Source organism: Homo sapiens, chromosome 4 (assembly GCF_000001405.40).
Source record: "Homo sapiens chromosome 4, GRCh38.p14 Primary Assembly".
Taxonomy (NCBI): domain Eukaryota; kingdom Metazoa; phylum Chordata; class Mammalia; order Primates; family Hominidae; genus Homo; species Homo sapiens.
Genome location: NC_000004.12, coordinates 151,458,097 through 151,483,818, shown reverse-complemented (window position 1 = coordinate 151,483,818; position 25,722 = coordinate 151,458,097). Strand labels below are relative to the sequence as shown.

Genomic DNA, 25,722 nt, shown 5'->3' with positions numbered 1-25,722 from the left:
TCTGTTCCGTATCTTAAACTGTCTCTAAAATGATAGACTTGGAAGACTAGGGGGAAGGGAAGGTTAGGGAGAGATTTCTTAAAGGATACAAAATTACAGCTAGATAGTTAACTATAGTCATCCTACCATGGTATAGAACAGAAGAACTTATTTCTCCTATCTAGCTATAATTTTGGATCCTTTAACAAATCTTTCCCTAAGCCTCCCTTCCCCCTACTCTTCCCAGAAAAGCACACAATCATAAATAGCTGTTTTGTGTCTACACAATAAGTTGCACTAAATTTTTTAAACTACAAAGATCCTAGGTAGAGGTCTGATTTTACTGGACCAGAGTGTCAATCTCTGTTGACATTCACTTGCAATATGCAGATTCCCAAGTCCTGCCCCTACCATTCTGATTCTGATTTTGATACACTAGTTTCAGGCCTACTAATATGAAATTTTTAATGTGTTTTTTTAGCAAGCACTCTAGTAACACTTTGGGAAATATTGCAAAACACCCCCCCACCCCCACAAGAAGATCATTTATAGAGGCAAATTATAAAGCATTAGAGGTATATCTAATAAGGAAGTTTCTGATTAACATAGGAACTCTTCTACAATACTAACAGATTGACTTATTGATTTTAATAAGAAAGAATATCAACATTTATAGTCAAATAAATAGTACATGCCTCTGTAAATTATGAAGCCTGAACAATTATTTTAACAATACTACCATTGCTTGAAACTCAGTCACTTCGTAGAATTTATTTTCAATACAGTGTATGAGTCTTCAAATTACAAAAAGAAAAATTGGTTTCCTTATGTTATTGCTCCTTCTTGGTTTTGATCAAAATTAGAGAACCCCAGGTATGATCATCACCCAAGTTCTAAATGAGTTTAGACTATTTCCTAAGTATATCCTTACAAGGTTGATATTTGCCACTAGAGAAAACAGGATGCTTAGAAGAATGCTACCAGAGGGTCAAGATGCAGTTCTTAAGAAAAGATTTTTTAAATGCTTCACATAGAGGATAGAGTACAGCCTCTCCCTAAGACATTTTAAACAAGATAATGTTCACATGGATGTGTAAGTTCAAGTAGACTTGCTTTAAAAAAAAAAAAGTATAACATATTATTGAGCATTACTGAACACATGTCAATAATAATGAGAAAAGAAGACATTACCTGGGGCTGCTGTCTTCAATAACCTACTGCTGGGTTGTATTTGCTCACTTCACTCTTCAGAGGAGCGGAAAGATTTTTCTAACATTTGGCTCTGCTGGAAACCCCTAGAAGAAGACTTTAAAAATCTATGAAGAGGAATAAAAATAATAATTAATAAACTGCAAAATCCAATCTGAGTATCTCTATTTTTTCTCCGCTCGCATTTACCACTACATGTTGTACACTGAGTGGGTTCTCCCAGTGTGCATTTGTCTTCACCATAAAAAAATAAATAAATAAGCAAAAAGCAAATCTTTATTTAGAAATCTGAATGCTAGCCAAAAATGAGAAACTCCTGCTGGGTAACAGAAAATAGAAAAGGATTCTTCCATCTTATAAGAGATGTCAAACAATTATATGCTTCTTTTGGGAGTGAAAAAAAGTGTGAAAATAAATCCATATCCATGGGTCAACAGTATCATATTAAGATAATAATGATAGCATAATATAAAATAGCAAAGAAAGGAGCACAAAAAACTTTTTATAAACAATTTCAAAAAATGTACACATTCCCAAATATTTCTGAGTAACTTTGACCTCTCTAGATACTGACAATTCATAGTTCAGGTTTTCGCCATCCAACGGGCAAAGTCTACTTTGGTCTTAGACACACATCTCCTATCATCAGGCCTAACTGGCAAGATAATTTTCGTAACACAAATGTGTGGCTTAATGCCTACCTTACAACCAGAAAAACATGAGCTTGAAGAGAAGCTGGCAAGGAAATTATCCTACCTGGGAGAAACACAGAGAACAAAACGTAGAGGTGTCCAAGACAGCAGTAAGAACATCTAGAGAGACTAACCCTTAGCAGTTAGCCAGAAGCCAACATAGATACTAAACAAAACCACAAGAAGCCACTATTTGATATCACAATAAGTGGAGGCCAGAGAAAATGTCCAAGAGAGTACATTTTTTAAGGAAATAATAAATACTATACTTAAATTTAAAACATGGAAACAGGCTGCTCTGCCTATGGAGTAGCCATTCTTTTATTCCTTTACTTTCTTAATAAACTTGCCTTCACTTTACTCTATGGATTTGCCCTCAATTTTTTCTTGCGTAGGTGCAAGAAGCCTCTCTTAGGGTTCTAAAAAAATAAAAAATAAACATGGAAACGATTTAAATGCCAATAACTGAGGAAGTCAGTTTGTCACAAACTGTAAATTTGCCACAACCACATAATTTACTTAATCACAATTCTGTTGGCCATTAAAAACTTTTCATTCCATAATATGTATATATAAATATACTTCAAAACATCAAGCTGTACATAATATATACAATTTTATGTCAAATTTTTAAAGTAATTTTTAAATAAAAAAGAAATGTTATGAGTTACAATAAAATGGGAATATGTAGTTTATAATACAAAGTGGAAAGAAAAAGCAGGGTACAATGTTGTAATTACATATGATCACAACTACTTATGCAAAAGAAAAAAACAAGATGCAATTTCTTCTGATATAGTTACAAATAATAGGTAAAATAGTTCCTATCTTTAGATGGGTTGAGGGGAGCAATTCAAGTCAGAGTCCTGTAAAACAAATATGTCTTTTTGAAATCTCTATATAGCCATGATTTCTCAAGCCTCAAAGGGTAAGCCACTTTCACATAATAATTTTTCTGCAATAGTCCAATATAATAAAAGATGGCCCTAGAAGTCTCTACAAAAGGTGTTGTGTATGTGTGTTTAACCTATGTGTGTATGTGTGTCAAAGGCTTAGAATGTACCTTCTCTTATAACAAATATTCGTGAAAAGAAAAAAATGGGGGTGGGGGGACACAGTGTGACCTAAATCTTCAAAACTAGGCACAGGAGTAGCAGTGGCAAGGCATGAGAAGAGTGGAGTATGAAAAGTAAAGGATAACGTTTTGCATGCAAAAAACAAATTCTTCATATTCAGATTTCCTCAATACCCTCAAATCAGCCTTCTTCAGTCTAATCAATTAATCATTTATTAACCACCTGGGAACTACCAGTATCACCTCATAACCAAATATCTGGCCATTTAATCGCAAGGGGTTTTACAAGTAACAGAATTCTCCTTCTTCCGTATCCCACAGGAACAGTTTTATCATCATGTGCTGGAGAGATACAGGCTCTTTTACCTCCTCTTAAGAATTACAGATTGCTGCTAGATGCTTTTCAGGTGATTTCAAGCCTTTTCTCATCTTGCAATTTGTGAATTATGAAAGGGCATCCCTAATTCATGAGAAATACTTCTCCCATCTCAATGTCCATTATCATATATCCTCCCCTTACACTCTACAATTTTAGGCACTCGCACACATATGCTTTTACTTAGGTAATAAGGCATTGCTGGGTATCAGTTAAGGGCTTTACTAAGAACCACTCTTATATTTTACCATCATGATCCCGCCAGCAGCAACGCTTCATGACTTCAAAGGAAGCCGAGTCCTTTGACAGTAATGCACAGAATGACATCGAAAGCAAGGTTAAGTGGAATTCAAGTAAATTGAAAGAACTCTCTTAAAATTCACTGGTTCTTGATAATTCTCTTGGTTGTCATCTCATTTAAAAACAAAATATGTCTCCTGCCAAAAAGGGGGGAAGCTGGCAGTTAACAATTCAGTCACACTCAAATCTCTCCCCAGGCAAATGCTTTCCTTCTAACAAAACATTCTACCTCCACATAATATAATCAAATTCAGGCTCACAGTCCTGTGTAATAGCTATATCACATCCCTAATTTCAACAAAGGAACAAAATTTAAAGCTCATTTCCAGATGGCATAAATTCAGTGAATTTAGACCTCTACTATGTCAAGTTCAGAAATATGCTAATAGGCAGGGAGTACACAAAAGCACAGCAAAACCACCAAATGAACACTTTGTTGGGGTGGGGAGAGAGAATTAATATCCACATCATGGATTTCTCCATACACCAGAGAAACAAATGTGGGTGGGGTGCACATTTATACAAGAGGTGTGGATTATCCATAGCATTGTATTAATTGATCTGTAATATAATCAAACGCTTTCCTGGAGGATAATTAACCAACCAACCAACGAAGAGAGAAGTTTCAAACAATTCAATAAGTTTTCAAACACATGAAGCTGACTATGAGCTAATTATTGAATAATTTCATTCTCAAAAAGGATTGAACTGGGACAGGTAATACATTATATTCACATGTGGAATCTCCCATAGTAGAACAAAATATTCTACACAGGTCCACAAACTTCACTGATTCCATTAAGCACGTTAATAATAACTTAAAGTCTTAAAATGGATGGACCCATACTTATCACTTCAATGCAATCCCTGAGTTTTACAGAGGATAAAACTGAGGCACAGAGAGGATGAGTGACCTGTTCAAAATTAAGTTGTGCTAAAAGATGAAGACAGAGGTAGAAGCCATGTCTTCTAAGCCCCACAGTAATACTGTCTTCTCCATATTAAGCTCACAATTCCTCAACAGTGTATCCATTAAGTTGATTTTATTCCTCCTCTCAACAGCAAACCTTCTAAAGCTTTAGGAAAAGTTGAACCAAATGAAGCTTCAATCTTCAATTTCTGTTCAATCAATCCCTGAGATTTCACATTAATTTCATACAATTCTTTTTTACCCAAGAAACTGAGTGTAATTTGGATGACTTTGGGAGGGTCTCAACTACAAAACAAATTCGTGAATTGGAGCATACCACAAGGGAAGGAAAAGAAAGCAGGCAGAGACCACAAGTATCTTAGAAATACACCAAGAATACTGACTTACTAAAATGAATAATGAAGGTGAATGAAACCAAATTCTAGTATTAAAGTGATGTTTCCCAATGTGACAACTACTCATAAGGTGTTTTTTTTAAGTAGTTATTGTCCAAGGTTCTGTAGTTAAATAAATTTGGGGAAATGCCACATTCTAAATGTTCTTCTTGAATATTCACAAAACACAGTACGTATATTAAGGCTCTAAGAAGGCCTTGTAGAAAAGAAGTCTGCTTAGTTTTGTTTAGCCCAATATTATTTGACATCTTTGGTTTGCACAGCTAGTATTGATAACCTCCAAGAAACATACTTCAGGAAGTATATACGGCATTCTTGGTGAAAAACCCAAGTCTGACACTCAATAAGCAGTATTTATAATGAGATGACCGCCCTCTTCCAGACTCAGCTGTTAAAAATCAACCTGTGAGGCAAAGGAATCTTGTTTTTACAACGAAAATCACCACCACCACTAGCATGTAATAAGTGCTAACAGCAAGGCATGTGCTACATGTAGATTTTTTTTGAAATGAGGCTAGGCATGTCTTCAGCCACCAAGTTAGCTTTCCCAGAAATTGTATCTTTTCACATATAAACAAAACATCTTGTATAAATGTTTTTTACACAAATAAACATATTATACTATTTCATACATTGGCAATGTTTCCAAATTGGTACCTAAAGAGAATTCACTGGTGTGGATTTTTATGGTCGAACATTTTCGAGTGTACAGCTGTAACATAATGTATTGATTCAGTATCCCATTATGAACATTAGGTTGTTTCCAACCTTTAGCCATTATAAACACTACTACAATTAATAACTTTGTACATAATTTTCTCATGCATGTAATAAGTATGTACAGTATATGCAGAATACATTCATAGTGCGTATGAATGTTTGCATGTCTAGGACTGTGTTTTTGTATCTAGGATAAATTTCTAAAACTGAAATTCCTAGATAAAGCAATATGAAATTTTCATATTATAGATTTTGCCAATTGCCCACTAAATAGACTAATGTTTTGCACCTATACTCTCTACAGAATAGGTTATAAGACTTTGTAATCTTTGTCCATCTAACAGTGATAAATGGTACCTCGGTGTAGTTGTAATGTGCGTATCTGTGATAATGGGTGAAGTTAAGCATCTTTCCATATGTTTAAAAGCCACTGTTATTTCCCTTCCTTTAGACTATTTGTAGCCTTAGTCCATTTTTCTTCTGGTTTTTGGACTTTTTCTTATGGATTTTAGGAGCTTTTTATTAAGAAAATTAGTCCCTTCATGATTTGAGAAGCAAATATTTTCCCCAATTTTCTTGTTCCTTGAAGTATGCAGAAGCTACTCAGGTTTTTTAAAAAATGTAATCAAATATATCAATCTCTTCTTTTATGGCTTCTCAGTTTTCTATCTTACTTAGAAGGGCCGTATGTACATACTCCAAGATTATAAAATAACTTTCCCATGTTATTCTACAATCTAGTTTATATTTTAAATTTGTTTATCATAGATTGATTTTTGGCTTAACATTTGAGATACTGCTGCAAATAGTACCTTTTCCGCCAGACAGCTACCTGGTTATCCCTCAGTTATGGAACTGAGCAACTTTACCCGACTAATTTGAAATACCACCTTTATTGTATGCTAAATATGGTATCTGGCAATACCAATGTTTCAATTATTGTAGACTTACTAAGCTAGATTTTATTCTCTTTTTCAGAATTGTCCTATTTGTGGTTGTTTACTTTTCCAAATGACCATAGAACCAGCTTGTTTAGAGCCCCCAAAAATCCTGTTGTTATTTTTACTGGAATTACATAAAAATACAGATTAATTCACAGAGAATTGGCACCTTCACATCCAAGAATATGATGGGACCTTTCCATTTTTTCGTATCTTTTTTTTTACACATCAGGAGCATTTTTAAACGCCTTCACATACAGCATCCATATTATTTTCCTAAGTTTATTCTTAGGTATTTCATCCTTTTTATGCTAATGGCCTTTTTCCCCAATATATCTTCTAACTGGTTATTGTTAGCATATATGGAAGTTATGAATGCTGACACATTACTTGGGTATCCAGGCACATTTATAGATTATCATATTCTTCGTAATTAGCTTTTTATTTTATTCTCTTGGATATTTGAGTCACATATTCCCATTATTTGCAAACAACATTCATTTACCTCCTTTCTGATTTTCTTGATAACTTCATTATTTTCTCTCATCCAGCAGCACTGGTTTATGATTCCAAATACCATTAACAATTAGTGAAAATAGTAAACATTCTTATTTTGGGTTCTGATGTTAATGGAAATGCTCTCAAATTTCCTATTTAGGCTCAGATGGTTTTAGGTTGAGATGAACATACTTTACTTTGCTAAGGGTATTTTCCTATTATATTTTAAAGGGTTTTTATAAAATCAATAATAGGTCCAGGTGCAATGGCTCACAACTGTAATCCCAGCACTTCTGGAGGATGAGGTGAGAGGATTTCTTAAGGCCAGGAGTTCAAGAGCAGCCTAGGCAACATAGCAAGACTTCGTCTCGACAAAAAAAATGAAATAAAAAAATTAGCCAGGCATGGTGGTGCACACCTGTAATCCCAGCTACTCAGGAGGCTGAGGTGGGAGCATTGCTTGAGCCCAGGAGTTTGAGGCCACAGTGAGCCATGATCTTGCCACTGCGCTCCAGCCTGGGCAAAAAAAAAAAAAAAAAAATCGGCCGAGCACAGTGTCTCATGCCTGTAATCCCAGCACTTTGGGAGGCCAAGGCAGGCGAATCACAAGGTCAAAAGATCGAGACCATCCTGGCCAACATGGTGAAACCCCGTCTCTACTAAAAATACAAAAATTAGCCAGGTGCGATGGTGGGCACCTGTAGTCCCGGCTACTCAGGAGGCTAAGGCAGGAGAATTGCTTGAACACGGGAGGCGGAGGCTGCAGTGAGCCAAGACTATGCCATTGCACTCCAGCCTGGCAATAAAGGGAGACTCTGTCTCAAAAAAAAAAAAAATCGATAATAGAGATTGAATTTTATCAAATGCCTTTTCTATAAAAAAAAACAGATGACTTTTTTCTATTTATATTTAATAAGATGATGAACCCTTCTTGCATTCCCGAAATAAACCTCAACTGTTACAGTGTTTTATTCTTTTAATATGTACGAAGTACATGTTAAGCAAGTTATTTCCTAAGCAGCCCCACAAACTGGGCACTACTACCATCCTGCTCTGCCCCTCCCTCACTCTACTTCAGCCACTTCAGCCACAATGGCCTCTCCTCACTGCCCCTCTGATGCACCAAGCTTGTTCTCACCTCAGGAATGTGCAACACCTGCCAGACTTGCTGTTCCCCGGAGCCTCCATCCCCAGATATCCTCATATATCATCCTCCTCTTCATTTGTGTCTCTGCTTACATATGACCTATTTACAGAAGCCTTTCCTGTCTACCCCCCATGAAATAGAAATCGCATTCCAATCTTGTCTCTACCCCAATGCTGTTTCATTTTGTCTGTAGCAATTGTCATCATCTCATATATATTCACATGTGGAAAATACACAAAATGTTTAACTTCTTTTAATTTACATTCCATTTCCCCATGAATTGAAGCTCCATGACAGCGGAGATTTTTCTCTGCTTTCCCTGTTGCTCACTTCCCAGCACCAAGAGCAGGCCTGGCACATGGGAAGTACTTACTATTTATTGAATGGATGAATGAACAAATGAATGAATGGATACTTATTTTACACATAAGAAAACTGAAGCTTATAGAAATTAAGTAACTAAAATCACACAGAAGCACAGCTGAAACTAAAACCTACGTCTAACTTTCAATTCCTGACCCTTAACCATTAAAACAAATGACAGGTGACTTTAGGCCACTGAAAATGCTCATATAATCTTATGAATTCTAAAGCACAAGTTAATCACACCATTGATTGAAAGTCTGAGGAATACTGTATAGACAAGCCCCTGTACAAGGTAAGCAAAAGAATCAGAGGATGGCCTCCAAAGAATTCCCTGGACATTATGGGAATTACATTGTTAGCCTTCCTACTGATACCCATAAGCCTCACAGCAAGCATCATGAAGCTGTGACCTTCATCTGCACATGCCCTTGTATACCCAAAAGATAAAACTGGATGCTTCAGGGCCGAATGGCCAATAAACACGTGTTTATTACTGGCATGGGCAGACACACATACTGAAAGTACCATTTCCCAGCGGACTAGCCATATTATGATCAGTACAGACACTAAAGATTTAGCTTTGAAAAAACTATTTGCTCTTCCAAAGCTGAAGAATCTTCTGTGATTTCAACAGGCAAGTTACAGTCAGGTATTCTTAATGTTCTTTTCCTCCTCTCTCACTGGGATACTTTCTTTCCTTCAGACAACGTCAAGCGAAAAACAAAATTTCACAAATCTCCATTTCTGACACTAAACAGTACAGTATCTTTATTTTTTTTATAATTTAATCAAACCCTGTATTTTAGAACTGTGGGGCTGATCCAACATTGCAATGTGTCACATTTAATTCCATCAATGTAAAGCATAATGAGCAAAGATTAAGGTAGTGAGGCATAACTAAATGTTTTGAACCTGTGAATTTCAAAAGCAAGGCCCATTTGTGTTATTTTCTAAATAGTAAATAAAATCATTTTCCAACATTTCACTATCAAATTACAGTAATTTTTCCACCAGTACACACTTGAGGAAAGCCACAAAAAGACTTTTCCAACAGTTCATTCTGTTATTGCTCATAACCTTCTAAATACTTCTCCTCATTGGCTTCTATTCAAAGGTAAATGGAAAGCAGTAAAATTTATGGAAAATATATTCAACTGCTTAAAATACATCAACCAAAAAAAAGATTTTAGAGCTGTATTATGAGTTGTGAAATTGCATTGCCTTCACTTACCTTTCAGTTTCACTGGTAGGTAACAAAACTGACAGACTGGTCAAGTTCCAAAACATCCCCTATATAGAGCCTGACTCTTCCATCTCAAATTCTCACCTTGGTCAAGGCCAGAGTAAACACCTGTCCTTCACATTTTTACACAACATCACTTTGTATGCTACAAATATAAGCTTTCATACCAGGGAGGAAGCAAATTCCAGGACACTGGAAACATTTCTGCTCTCTTAAACCAGTCTGTTGATTGTTCCCTTGACTTTCTCAGCTGTCAGGATAGTGAAAGGAGGAAAACTGCAAAACTGTAAAGTATAACCTGATAAGTTTGCCCTTTAAGCTTTTCACACAGAGAGAGGTAAAATAAAACTCAAGTCTAAGGTTTAAAATTGAGCTATGAATATTATATTCTAGCACTAGACAAAAATGTTGCAAGATTTTAATAAAATAAGATTATTAAAATCAATTTTTACATTTCATGGGCCAAGGAGAGACATCAAAGAATGTTTAACTAACATTTTAAAGATACTATACTTTATAAAGTTAAGAAGAAAAATGACAACTGCACCAGTTCAGAAATGCCTTAGAGTAGGGAAATGAAGGAGCATTAACTATTAATAAAGCTAGAGTCTTAAAATAAATTTTAAAAAAAAGATAAGCATTGAGAAAAAATTCACCTTAATAAAACTCGGCTTAATACAGGAAAGTAGTTTATTCATCTTGCATAATACTATTTCATTTTATTTAGTCCTTTCTCTAAGGATTCTAGAGATCTTTATGAACATTATCCAGCTAAGCCTTCATTTACCAGTATAAAAGGAAAAGGCACTGACTGCTATTACATTTACAAACATCCAAGAGATAATAGCAACAACAACGACAAAAAACAGAGACATAAAATTTCAGGAAACTTCAAAGCACAGAAGACAGTAAGGAGACCCTTTCCTGGCTTGGGTTTTTTGGAAGGGAGAAAGGTGAAATGTACAATAAAAACAAATATGTGAATATTAAGACTGGCTTAAGTAAGCAAGCAGATTTGGAGTTTATTGTGCAATGGTCTTGCCACAGACTTGCAGGAAAAATAAGCTTGGTATAAACCCAGTCTACATTTCAGCATTCAAAAATAGCTTTTTTATACCAAGTCCTAAATGTGCTGCATGTTTTATAATCCCAACAAATACACTAACTTCAGGTGTCACCACTTATATTTCTGCCTTTTGAATGTTGGAAGGAAGAGATGTTCAGAAGAACAGAGTGGCTGACAAAATTCTAACTTTCATATGAAATCCCTGACAGAGTAAACATTAAGACAATGAAGTAGTTGCTACAAAAAAAAAAAAAAAAACAGCAAGGCAAGAGGAAAAAATTCCACTATTTTCAGAGGCAGGCTCAAAGAGGAAAGTGTAATAAACATCCTTGGCAATCACAGGGCACCTTGTAACGTGTTTCTATTAATATTTGTTTACATGTTTTTATCCCCACAGGTGGCTGTGATCTTGAAGGCAAAGACTTGGCTTTATAGCACCCAGCCTATCAGCCATCAGTCAAAAAAATGGACCAAGTGTTGAGTCAATTAACTTTTCTTAAATTCTCTTGACCAGAAATACTCATAGTGTTTGTATTATGTGAATTTTATCTCAAATTTTTTAAAGTACAAAAAAAAAATCATGGTCTGAATACACGTTAAAAGCCAGCTGACAGGAAAAGAGCTGTTTTAAGTTATTAGGGCAAAGCTATTTTGAAATCAGATCATAGGTCACCAGACTCTAATTTAATGGTAATATGTTTTTCAATAAACAATAAGCCCTGTAATCACATATGTATTTCTTAACCCTACATATGTCCAGTGTCCATCCAGACAAAGGAGTATACAACTGCAAAACACCCATCAAGTTATGGCTTCTCACAATTCGCAGTTGCAAAAATGTGGAACCAACCCAAATGCCCATCGATCAATGAGAAGATAAAGAAACTGTGGTATATATGCCATGGAATACTACACAGCCATAAAAAGGAATGAATGAATGGCATTCGCAGCAGTCTGGATGAGACTGGAGAATATTATTCTAAGTTAAGTAACCCAGGAATGGAAAAAACAAACATTGTATGTTCTCAATCATAAGTAGGAGCTAAGCTATGATAATGCAAAGGCATAAGAATGACACAACGGACTTTGGGGACTCAGGGGGAATGGGTGGGAAGAGGGTAAGGGATAAAAGAATACAAATTGGGTGCAGTATATACTGTTCAGGTGATGGGTGCACCAAAATCTCACAAATCACCACTAAAGAACTTACTCATGTAACCAAACACCACCTGATCCCCAATAACGTATGGAAATAAAATTTAAAAAAAAAGAAATCTCCCATGTGTTTACCATATTGTGAGCACTCATTTGGACTAACAAACATTTCTAAAAAGACCTTAGATTAAAAATTATGAAACATAGGCAACAAATAAAAATTAGAATATAAATTTTCTTTTAGAAGTTATGGCTTCTAGGTCTGCTGATTGGCATGCTGTTGAAATTATAATTTACCTTCCTTATTTAGATGTAAACAGATTCCATAATACTAGGTTCCACCATAGGAAGAAGAGATTCAGAGTGCTGTTTTGGTGGTTTTTTCTTTTTTTTTTTTTCCTTATTGGAAAAAATACGCTAAAGTTTAAAAAAAAAAAAAAGGAACAATTCCAAGAGAGATCCAGAGTTAAAAGGAACTTTGAGGAAATCTAGAGAACTGCTTTGCTTCAGGCTCCCTCCTATCCTCATATCTTGAATCTATTATGTTTCCAAGAAATGTAAAGACCACCACACAGGTTGGAGGACTGATTGGTAAATGGCCCTGGAGTTCCTGAACCAAGCACTTGTCCCTCATCTATATGCATTCATTGATCCCCAGATACTAAGATTCCCCTCAGATTGAAACAACAAAGAATCTCATTCAACTAAAAATGTGATCTTTGGTATTGTGCTCCAATTTGGAAAGGTCAAGTCCACGCCAGCCAGCATTGTAGGCAATTAGCTAACATCACACCTACTGTCCCTGCCCCACAAATTAAAATCCTGGAGCAAAAATACAATACGGCCACAGTCCAAAGAAAGGAAAATGAAAACTTCAGTAGAAGGATGCAAAGGGCAAAGATATTATTATTGATTACCCAGTCTAAACTCATAATACTGACATCAATGACTAGAAGAATACAGAGCTTTCACATGATCTGTCAGGTTTCACTAGCTAGACTGTAAGATGGCAGGGCAGGAACCCTCTTCTCTTTATTCTCATTGTATTATACAAACCCTAAAATTAATACCGATATTTTGTATGTCCCCAAGAAACTGTCTGAATGACATTAATATGTATATTCCTCATAAAAAGATGAAGTCATTTGTTCAGAGTTCACTGTCACAATCAAACCTCTAACTTGGCAGCAGAAAGAAAAACCACCCACACTCCACTAATACCTTTTTTACTGACCCGATAGCAGGGAACTGAAATAAACGACCAACATCTACTCAGTGACCCCACTGAAGTAAAAGAGGAATGCATGTCTGAACAAGAATATTTATAAGAAGTTTTCTAAGCACGAATATTCCTTTTGGAAAATGTTCTGGCCCCAAGCCTCAACACAAACTCCTTTTCTATGACAGCCTGCCTTAACACACAGCATCTGTTTATTGACTAAATCATAGACATAACACATTTGCAAAGTAAAAATAAATTAAATATCCATACACACAGCTTTCTTTTCTACACTATTAGTCAAAAAGCACAAGTGTAATATGCTGAGGCACTAACCTCTGGCTTAAAGACAAATGGAATTACCATACTACTCTACCACACATTGTTTAAAAATGCAGAGCACAATTCTTGAGTTAATTTGTCACTTGAAAAAATCACTGTGCTTTTATGATGAGAATTCATTTATGAGAAGCTCTTAGCACAGTTTTCCCCTTAACCTTCTCAATTTATCTTACATTTGCTACTCTTCCACAGCAAACTTTTATGTGCAATTTTAAGGCTGTGTAATGTAAGTTACAAGGGCACTAGTCTTTGAAACTCAAAGAACAATCTAATGAAAATGAGGTGATGCCACCAGCTGGCAATGATTTGCCGTCTCCTGACCCGACATCCTAAAATATATGATTGAACAGGATTTTGAAAGGTATCTGTGGAAGGCAAAAGAAGAGGGGTTTTATTTGACTGTGAAATGGGGAAATTATATCTATATCTAAGTTTTGTTTTAAAGAAAAATAAGGAAAAGCAAAAAAGAAATCCACAATTTTAAAATTATCCATTTCCTTTAGAGACAATAATGATTTAATGTGCCAGTAAACAGTCTTTTAGACATAATGAACTTTTGAGAATTTTCTAGGCATCATTCAAGCATATTTGGAAGCAACCAGAACGTGAGTGTAGTGGGAGTGTCCAAGCTTTTATGTGATGGGTAAACCTAGTTTTTAGTGATGTCATCACCTGTAAGCCTTAGTGTCATCACCTGTAAAAATAGGGCTAATATCCTCCTGCTCTATATGTCTCACAGTATCAAATTTTAAAAAGAAGCTATACCTGAAATTACTGGATAAGCTGGAAAGCACTATCCAAATGCATTACTATTGTTGATGGCAACAAGTAAGCACTGTTCTCAAACACCAAAAACAGAAAAGCAAGATTGCACAAGTATAGAACCAGTCTTACTTGACTTAATGTATACAGTAACGCCTGAGTAGACAAGACAAGCTAATATAGGATTGTGAAATTTAAACCAAAAGGTCTTCCAGTTCAAATGGCTGCAAATCTTGTGAACACTTCTTAAAACTATTATCCAAAAGCAACTAAAGCAATGGTAAATCAGCTTTTTTGAGGGAAGAGGGTAAAAGGCAATAGAGCCTTTTCAGAATCTCATGAAGACTACTGACCTTCCACTCACAAAAAGTATAACCACATATTCAAGCAAAGCTTATTTTTCTGCTATCAGGGGTGGTTCTTGGGATCCCAGGCTAGGAATCCCTCACTGCAGGATACTGAATAACTGCCTAGTGAATCATAAAGACACTGAGAACAGGAACAGGTTCATAATGATAACAAAGTACCCCAGATCAGATGATCATGATTACATAGGTGCTGCCCTTAAGGAAACCCTCCATCAGACCTTCACAGTAGACAGGCGGCTGAAAGGTCTATAATTCCCAAGTTACCTTAGCAGTATTCAGACAAATGAGGCCCTGGTAAGTTAAGCAGAAAATCACTTCCTTTGATAAATGACCAGCCTTCCAACTAAGGTAACATCTAAAACTTAGTGTACATACACATCCAGTGGCTACTTTAGAATGTCTACAGAAATGGGGCATGGGGTGGCAATCTAATTGGAAGTCCAACCTAGGGTATTAGTTTTGAAGCTAAAGTTGCCTGAGACTTCACGTAAGAGTGAAAAAAATACTGAGTTTCCATAGCAAAGCAAGAAGAATGCTAATAGAAAGGGGATGCAGGGTTAAGGCACCCCAGGCCAGCCTTTGGCATTGCCACTGGATTCACTGACACCAGTGGTTCTCAAACTGTAACATGCAACAGAATCACCCAAAAAGTTTATTAAATACAAATTGCTTGGGCTCCAGCCTCAAAGTTTCTGATTCAGGAGATCTAGTCACAAATTTGTATTCTTTTTTTTTTTTTTTTTTTTTTTTGAGATGGAGTCTCGCTCTCTCACCTAGGCTGGAGTGCAGTGGCGCAATCTCGGCTCACTGAAAGCTCTGCCTCCTGGGTTCACGCCATTCTCCTGCCTCAGCCGCCGGAGTAGCTGGGACTACAGGTGCCTGCCACCACACCCAGCTAATTTTTTTGTATTTTTAGTAGAGACGGGGTTTCACTGCGTTAGCCAGGACGGTCTCAATCTCCTGACCTCGTGATCCGCCCTCCTCGGCCTCCCCAAGTGCTGGGATTACAGGCATGAGCCAACATGCCCGGCTTTTTTTTTTTTTTTTTAAGTTCCGGGATACATGTGCAGAACGTGAGCGTTTGTTACATAGGTATACATGTGCCATGGTGGTTTGCGGCACCTATCAACCCATCATCCTGGTTTTAAGCCCTGCATGCATTAGGTATTTGTCCTAATGCTCTCCCTCCCCTTGCCCTCCACCCCCTGACAGGTCCTGGTGTGTGTCGTTCCCCTCCCTGTGTCCATGTGTTCTCATTGTTCAACACCCAATTATAATTGAGAACACGTGGTGTTTGATTTTCTGTTCCTGTGTTAGTTTGCTGAGGATGATGGCTTCCAGCTTCATCCATGTCCCTGCAAAGGACATGATCTCATTCTTTTTTATGGTTGCATAGTATTCCATGGTGTATATGTACTACATTTTCTTTTCTTTATCCAGTCCATCACTGATAGGTGTTTGGGTTAGTTCCATGTCTTTGCTATTGTAAACAGTGCTGGAGTAAACATATGTGTGCATGTATCTTTACAGTAGAGTGATTTATAATCCTTTGAGTATATACCCAGTAATGGGATTGCTGGGTCAAATGGTATTTCTGGTTCTAGATCCTTGAGGAATCACCACACTGTCTTCCACAATGGTTGAACTAATTTGCATTCCCATCGACAGTGTAAAAGTGTCCCTATTTCTCCACAGCCTCACCAGCAACTGTTGTTTCTTGACTTTTTAATAATCACCATTCTGACTGGCACGAGATGGTATCTCATTGTGGTTTTGATTTGCATTTCTCTAACGATCAGTGATGTTGAGCTTTTTTCATATGCTTCTCGGCCACATAAATGTCTTCTTTTGAGAAGTGTCTGTTCATATCCTTTGCCCACTTTTTGATAGGGCTGTTTTTTCTTGTAAATTTATTTAAGTTCCTTTTAGATTCTGAATATTAGACCTTTGTCAGATGAGTAGACTGCAAAAATTTTCTCCCATTCTGTAGGTTGCCTGCTCACTCTGATGCTAGTTTCTTTTGCTTCGCAGAAGCTCTTTAGTTTAATTACATTCCATTTCTCAATTTTGGCTTTTGTTGCAATTGCTTTTGGTGTTTTCATCATGAAGTCTGCCCAGGCCTATGTCCTGAATGGTATTGCCTAGGTTTTCTTCTAGGGTTTTTATGGTTTTGGGTTTTACATTTAAGTCTTTAATCCATCTTGAGTTAATTTTTTTATAAGGTGTAAGGAAAGGGTCCAGTTTCAGTTTTCTGCATGTGACTAGCCAGTTTTCCCAGCACCATTTATTAAGTAGGGGATCTTTTCCCCATTGCTTGTTTTAGTCAGGTTTGTCAAAGATCAGATTGTTGTAGATGTGTGGCATTATTTCTGAGGTCTCTGTACTGTTCCATTAGTCTATATGTCTGTTTTGGTACCAGTACAGTGCTGTTTTGGTTACTGTAGCCTTGTAGTATACTTTGAGGTCAGGTAGTGTGATGCCTCCAGTTTCGTTCTTTTTGCTTAGGATTGTCTTGGCTATATGAGCTCATTTTTGGTTCCATATGAAATTTAAAGTAGTTTTTCTAATTCTGTGAAGAAAGTCAAGGGTAGTTTGATGGGAATAGCACTGAATCTATAAATTACTTTGGGCAGTATGGTCATTTTCATGATATTGATTCTTCCTATCCATGAGCATGGAACGTTTTTCCATTTGTTTGTGTCCTCTCTTATTTCCTCGAGCAGTGGTTTGTAGTTCTCCTTGAAGAGTTCCTTCATGTCCCTTGTAAGTTGTACTCCTAGCTATTTTATTCTCTTTGTAGCAATTGTGAATGGGAGTTCACTCATGATTTGGCTCTCTGCTTGTCTATTGTTGGTGTCTACAAATGCTTGTGATTTTTGCATAATGATTTTGTATCCTGAAACTCTGCTGAAGTTGCTTACCAGCTTAAGGAGTTTTTGGGCTGAGACGATGGGGTCTTCTAAACATAGAATCATGTCATCTGCAAACAGACAATTTGACTTCCTCTCTTTCTATATGAATACCCTTTATTTCTATGTTGAATAGGAGTGGTGAGAGAGGCCATCCTTGTCATGTGCCAGTTTTCAAAGGGAATGCTTCCAGCTTTTGCCCATTCAGTATAATATTGGATGGGTTTGTCATAGATAGCTCTTATTATTTTGAGATATGTTCCACCAATACCTAGTTTATTGAGAGTTTGTAACATGAAGGGATGTTGAATTTTATCAAAGGCCTTTTCTGCATCTACTGTGATAATCATGTGGTTTTCGTTGTTGGTTCTGTTTATGTGATGGGTTACTTTTATTGATTTGTGTTTGTTGAACCAGCTTTGCATCCCAAGGATGAAGCCTACTTGATCGTGGTGGACAAGCTTTTTGATGTGCTGCTGGATTTGGTTTGCCAGTATTTTATTGAGGATTTTCGCATGGATATTGATCAGTGATATTAGTCTGAAGTTTTTTGTTGCTGTTGTATCTCTGCCAGGTTTTGGTATCAGGATGACGCTGGCCTCATAAAATGAGTTAGGGAAGAGTCCCTCCTTTTTCAATTGTTTGGAATAGTTTCAGAAGGATTGGTATCAGCTCCTCTTTGTACCTCTGGAAGAATTCAGCTATGAATCTGTCTGATCCTGGGCTTTTTTTGGTTGGTAGGCTATTAATTACTGCCTCAATTTCAGAATTTGTTACTGGTCTCTTCAGGGATTCGATCTCGCTGGTTTAGTCTTGGGAGGGTGTATGTGTTCAGGAATTTATCCATTTCTTCTAGATTTTCTAGTTTATTTGCGTAGAGGTGTTTATAGTATTCTCTGATGGTAGTTTTTGTTTTTGTTTTTCTTTTAAAGAGACAGGGCCTCACTCTGTCACCCAGGTTGCAGTGCAATGGTGCGATCACAGCTCATTGCAGCCACGGACTTCTGGGCTCAAGGGATCCTCTCTAGTAGCTGAGACTACAGGTGTGCACCACCATGCCTGGCTAATTTTTAAAACATTTTGTAGAGGCAGAGTCTCACTATGTTGCCCAGAGTGGTCTCAAATTCCTGGCCTCAAATGATCCTCACCTCAGCCTCCCGAAGTGCTGGGATTACAGCCATGAGCCATGGCACCCAACCCCCAAGAATTTGTATTCTAACAAGTTTTGGAAGATGCCTATGCTGCTAGTCAGGGGACCACACTTTGACAATCACTGATCTACACAATTAGAGCCTATCTCATCTAGTACACTCCAATCTCTTAAGTGCTATCCAGATGCCATACTCATCATCAAATAAAAAAGTGAGTACCACTCTGTCACTCAGGTCAGCCTCTCACCTGTGGTACCTACAGTGTATGCTGGTTGGGCTGAACATTCAAGATACACAATAAGCTTCCTGATGACTGGTGAGTGTCTGTAGGTAATACACACTACAGACAAATGCAGAGGAAGAACTTGGAGCAGTTTTGTTTTAAAATTTTACCCTCAGGAAGCAATATACAAGCAAACTGGTGCTAAACGGTGCTAGAAGGATTTACTTAATATAGTAGTCCTTCATTACTCCAGAACTATGGTCTTCAAAGTGAGGTCCACAGAGCCCCCAGATACCTTGAAGGTTGGGTTGGGTGGAGAGTGGAGAAATGATGGAGGCATTTGGCCTTTCATCTGTGTTCCTCTCTAAACCAGAAGTTCAGCTTTCTCTGACTTACATATTGGGATAAATTATATTTTTAATGGTTTTACTATCCCTTTAGAGGGAATAAAAGGCTTAAAAACCACCAGATTTGATTACCTCTAGGAGTCCCTCCATTTCTGTGATTCTATTATAATACAACAATCACTGGCTAAATGACACATTACAGAAATAAAAATATTGCTGGGCATGGTGGTGTGTACTTATAGCCCCAGCTACTTGGAAAGGTGAGGCAGGAGGACTGCTGGAGCCCAGGAGTGGGAGTTCAAGTCCAGCCTGGGCAACACTGTGAGACCCCATTTCTTGAAAAAAGGGTAAAAAATAAGTAAATAAACAATAAAAATATCAAACTGGCTAAGGAGGCTGACAGAAGGCTATATCAGAATGAGAGGTTAGGAGTCAGATCATATTCATGTCTGGTAGGAAGATCTGGATATCATATATAGGAGCTTCCAAATTCACCAAGGGCAGTAACCAAACCTCTCTAAATGGAATGTAAAAAATAGAAAAACTCAGGGGTAATTATCTTTATTTAATCTTGCCTGATCTATCAGACACCTTGCAGAAACCAGGGTATTTTTCAGTCAGTGTCATGGTGATACTGTGAGACACAGAACAAAATGCCACATGCTCGGTATTGTCATCAGACAAGGCCACCTACCAAACAGTTAAAACTTTTCTTTGTGACACATAATTGGAAGCTACTGGGCAAGTTGTGCATAAAATACTAGGATCATTACTGTAGAGCACAACTGGACCACATTTAAAAGGAAAGAACAGAAGGCTGGGGGCATATATTTTACGAGTAGCTTTAATTTATGTCACCCATAATTCTAGAGTTCAAAACCATCTGCAAGGGGCAAAGGAGGAAGTGTAATCTTCTAATTGGAAGGTCATCCATTCCTGGAATGCCAAAATTGTCTGTGACGATCAAGGTGCCCTGTCATGACACAGAAGATATGGATTCAGTATAAAACAGAAAGGATAATAAGAACCTCTTCAAAGCTACTGGCATCTCTGACATACCATCATTCTACTTTCAACCATCCCTCCCCAATGCCACCTTCTTTGGCTAGGGCATCACCAGAGGTAGGAAGAAAAGATGGTCTCAACAAGTCTATGACTTGCAATCCAGTTCCAACAGATGGCCTAAATCACTCAGCAAAACCCATCTCTTCTAAACCAAAACAGCCAGAATGTGCCCATGCTCTAGGTACCATGGCAGGGTGTTAAGTATTCATTATTTCATTCAACAAAAATATTTTCTGAGTTGCTTTGGCAATGATGAATAACACACAGCCCCAAATCTCAAGGAGCTCACAGGAGCTCTAAAAGACCTACCCTCAACCGGCCAACACTGTGAAGTCATACCTAATAATGCAGGGAACTGGATTAGAATCTAAAGTCAAACCAAGGCAGCAATTACAAATAGTAAAACTACCCTTGAAAACTCCATGTAATTCCGCATAAAATACAATACTAAGTCATCTCTCAGTAAGTCCACAATAAGCCATCCAGAAAAGACTATTGTCTGTTCAGGTAAACATCAGAGAAAGTAACCAGCTTGCATTTTATGGGCCATGCTGTTCAGACCAAAATGCTCTCACTCTGAGAGGAAATTAAATCTCCCCTATAAACAGCAGGCTCACAACTCCCATCTTATGCTCACTCCAGGACTATGCTCATCAAATTTCAATTGCTATTTCCTGCCCTTCTTTCTTCTTTTGGCCAGGTGCATTAGTTGAATTCCCATGAGTGAAATATGCATATATGACTCCTCTGTAATATCATCATCTTAATATTTACTCAAAGGCATGCCAAAAATTCCACCATTTCTTTGAGTTATGTAACATACTATGAATCCTTCTTTTGAATGTAAATATATAACACAGAAAGGGTTATAAATTAACCCTACACAAGAGAATGAATGATTTTACCAATTAGCTCCAGTTATCTGAAGAATCTAGTGAAACTATCTGAAGAAACTGTTCAGACAGTGAACAGGTAAGTATTGGCATGTAGAAAGAAAACCAAGAAAGATACGGAACATGAAGTACACCCCCAGCACACTGGGTCCTGTCAGGGAACAATGTGAACCCATGGTGCATCTCAGGAAGAGGCTTAGAGGGAGCAAAATAAGGACCTTAATGATACATATTAGAATATGGTCAGCCTTACCCTCAAAATACATTTATTTTACTTTATTTTTTAGAGACAGGGTCTCACTCTGTTGCCCAGGCTGGAGTACAGTGGTATGATCACAGCTCACGGCAACCTCAACTTCTCAGCTCAAGGGGTCCTACCAACTCAGCCTCCCAAGTAGCTGGGACTATAGGCATGCACCACCATGCCTGGCTAATTTTTTAATATTCTGTAGGGACAGAGTCTCCCTTGTTGCCCAGACTGGTCTCGAACTTCTGGCCTCAAACAATCCTCCCACCTCAGCCTCCAAAAGTGTGGGATTACAGGCGTAAGCCACTGTGCCTGACCTACCCTCAATATATTACAGAGTCGATCCCATGCCCAAAGTCCTTCAGGTCAGGGATAATTCAAGAAAAAGAAATGAGCCTGTTAGGTTACCCTGATCTGACTCGATTAGGCTATCCAATCACTTACACAGTCCCAACTGCTACAGTCTTCCACTTCCTTCAATGTCACACATAACTGCCGTGGCTCCACATTTCCCTGGAGGCTAATATAGCCCCTACATTCTTTTCCATTTTTAAAATTTTAAAATTTTATTTTTAATTGGCATATGATAATTATACATATCCATGGGGTACCTAGCGATGTTTTGATACATATAATGTATAGTGATCAGATCAGTGTAATTAGCATATTCATCGTCTCAAACATTTATCATTTCTTTGTGTTGGGAACATTCAATATTTACCTTCTAGCTATTTGAAACTATATTTTATTATTAACTATAATCATCCTACCATGGTATTGTCACGAGAATGAGTGCCATGCCCACCATACCTCACCTCACACTTAGGTAGGCAGCATCAACAAAATAAGCCTGACCATTTGCTGGGAAACCTGGCCCTCTCCTATTCCCAGAGATGCATGTATGTATTATTTCATCCAACAAGTTTTCTCAAAAAACATCCTGCTTCTTCCTAAACATCTCTTCACCTCCCTTTTTTTCAGTCCTCTTTCCTTTATATGGCAGAACATAGGTTCTGCTGGCTTTGCCCATGAGGAGGCTGCACACTTAACCCTTGTTTGTTCTCCAACATGCTATCATTATTTTCAGCTAGCTGGGCACACTTTCCTATTTGTCCTCTCCAGATTCCACCTTATCTTCATCTGGTTTTCTTCAACCTTCTAATTATCTCATGCTTAGCCTCTAGTTCCCTAGAAGAATAGATGGCATACTTAAATGCAAAAAGGCACAAAAGAAAATAATTTATACCAGTCAAATAAACTTCATATCCATTGCCATACAACCACACAATTTAAGCCCTATTTCATTTTCCTAAACACAAATGCTTCAGAAATCCTCCACTCTTCCACAACAGCCTTAAAATCCTTCATCTCTTCATTTCCTTCCTTCAGTGAATTCCTAATCTGCTCAGAACTTTTACCTGACCTCGGTCCATACTTATCATGATCTTAAATTCTTCAGCTGATTTTGGAAATGAAAAATTTTAAGCAGGCAATTAAAAAAGACTAGTAAATCTGTTCTTGACAGGACTAGACTTAACTCTAATGAGACAATATGACAACTACATGGCCTGCTGCCAAGGTATCAGGAGCAGTTTAAGAATTAGACTCAAAATAGCTGATACAATCTGAAAGACAGAGTGACCCTCTCTATACACTTAATCTTTGCTTGGTTTGCACTGTGTGCAAGATATGAAACTTAAAATATTAAGACAGCAGTTAAGGAAGAGACCATCAAATTAAGACTCAGGAAAAGGTGGTGGTGGTGGTAGGTACAACAGCAGAAACACACTAACTAGATGTGAGTAGCTATTTTTATCTGCAGGGTATATGAAATATGTAATACATAGTTTTCCCAAATGTTGTGCTCTGAAACACTTCATTCATTTTTTTGTCCAGCCATGGGAAATAAAATGATCACTTATTTGCTAAAATGTTTACCTCTCTCACACAAATTTAAACCTAATAACAGGAAGACCTTTAACGCAGGGCCTCTAAAAGCTGATTTAAATGTAGAACATATTAAAAATTTACCCACATTTTAAATAAACAGTATGTTGGTATTCACATTACCATAATAATGTATCCTCAAATATCAAAAAGAAGTGTTATTTTTCAATATGTAGCCACAAATTCAAAAATAAATGTTTTCCTATATTGGGAGAAAATTAAACTCTTAAAAACATAAACAATCATAAGCATTCAAAATAGCAATCTAAAGATTCCCTTTATTTCATTTGTCCATAAAATTAAGAGCATCTGTCATATGATAAAAAATATATATACAAAAAGCTGAATTCCAAGTGTATGCAAAAGGTCTTTCTCATTCTTGCTCTCTCTCCGTCAACCTTAATAAATAGTTGTTGTTTTTGGTAGCTCTACAACAAGGGTATTAACACTTAAAGCCATTCTAGCTTCAGCCACTGTTCTGGTTTCTTGCTTCTGTCGCAAACCAACACTGAAGGTAAATAACAAAGATTAATGCAGTACTACCTTGAAGAAGCAATTAAAAAGAGGCTGAAAAGCAGCAACCAAACCCCAAACCATTTGCTCTTCCACAATAGGAAGCTGAAGATAATCTCGTTTGCTAAACATAAATCACTTGAGATCTGGCCAAATTCTTAAATGATATTACAGATGGAAACGCTGCAAAGTCAGGTGCTGCTTACATAAGTATTTACTTCCAACTTGGAAAACAAACTAGACCAGTTTTTCTTGTTCCTTTTAGGAAAGTGATCATTTTAAACCATGAAACAGTTAACAGAAGGGATTCCCTAGACCCACTCTTGCTGGACTTTTGGTCCCACCCGTACTCACTTTGAGACGTATTAGGTTTCTTGAAACTAAATTTGCTTCCTTATCCTTCAGTATCTATTTAAAAGTCTTTAGGTAGCAGAAAGTAAACTCCATCAATCAATCTTACCTTCTTATATATTTTTGTAGTATATTCACTTTTTTTCAGGAACAAAAGTCAAGATATACTCCGGTAATACTTTTTGTGCACGTGTGTGTATATATATACTTTAAAAAAAAATTCTCTTTAGGGCTCTGTGAGGTTTATGCAAGCAGCCCTCTCACAGAGGCCACTGTGTTTCCCAGGGTTTATGTTCACATGCAGCTGGTCATACGAACAGATTGGCTTTACTTTTCATTTCCTTGTGTTAAAGTCACTTAGAGAAGGTTTGAGAACTACAAGGTATAACAAGTCACTTGTTCGTTTAAAGGTGCTATGTTAACAGCAAATATTTTGGTGGTGCTGGTTGGTTCAATAACCAAGAGTTTGTGAGGATACTTTCTCTATGACCCTTTTTCTGCTAAATATTACAGGAAATGCCAGTGATCCTGATAGAGATCCACTATGCCCAAGAAAAGCGACTCTGTGGTGTGTGAGTAGGAGCCGACTAAGATAAGCCAAACAAAAGACAGTCCCTTGCGCCCAGACTAAAACCCCATTCAGTTTTAAAGTGTACTGCAACAAGAAGCCCTGGATTAAATGTCAACCCCATACATTTTAGTTATTTATTCTACAGTTCTAGATATTCCCAAATACACAGTTAAGGACAGCCAGGGTACAAAATATTCCAGTAGACCTTACTCAAATCTGCCAAAACCTACATTAAAAGCTCCTACTAAACTTCCATTTAGTCTGATTTTCCCCTCCTATATGCTGCACAGACACCCCCACCCCCAAACCCACACACATCTTCTGCACCTCACAGGAACTATTACTTTCTTTACCCTCTACCAAAGAAATCACTTCCCAAAGTACCTGGTGAAGACTTTCCTAGAGCCTGTTCACACCACAGCAGACCTGGCTAGGCTGTTTCCTCCTCCTTATAGGACCAAGAACACTGCCCCTTTTTCCAGGCCTGGCTTCTTCCCCCAAGGCCACAAAACTGGTTGGTGCCAACACTCTGAGTAGCTTAACCACTGACTATTTTCTTCCAAGTGCAATTCAAAGTTCTGTGGCCTAAAAGCAAAACACATCACAGAGCTCATGATTCTGAGTTAGACAAACCTGGCTTTCACTCTGCTACTTATGACCTCTGCGACATGGGCAAAGAACCTCTCTAAGCCTCAGTTTCATCTCTAAGGTGGGGATAATA

General features: G+C 37.4%; 1 protein-coding gene across 7 annotated transcripts in view; it reads right to left on the bottom strand.

Moving 5' to 3' along the window:
- The window catches only part of FHIP1A (FHF complex subunit HOOK interacting protein 1A), a 261,328-nt gene that overhangs the window by 186,685 nt on the left and 48,921 nt on the right, over nucleotides 1–25,722 (bottom strand). For 4 of the 7 annotated variants that reach the window (XM_024454201.2, XM_011532221.3, NM_001109977.3 and 1 more), the window contains one exon: nucleotides 1,171–1,295. The exons of the other annotated variants lie outside the window; for them this stretch is intronic. The gene's annotated coding sequence lies outside the window, so the exon portion shown is untranslated. The remainder of the gene's footprint in view (nucleotides 1–1,170; nucleotides 1,296–25,722) is intronic. 7 annotated transcript variants of the gene reach the window in all.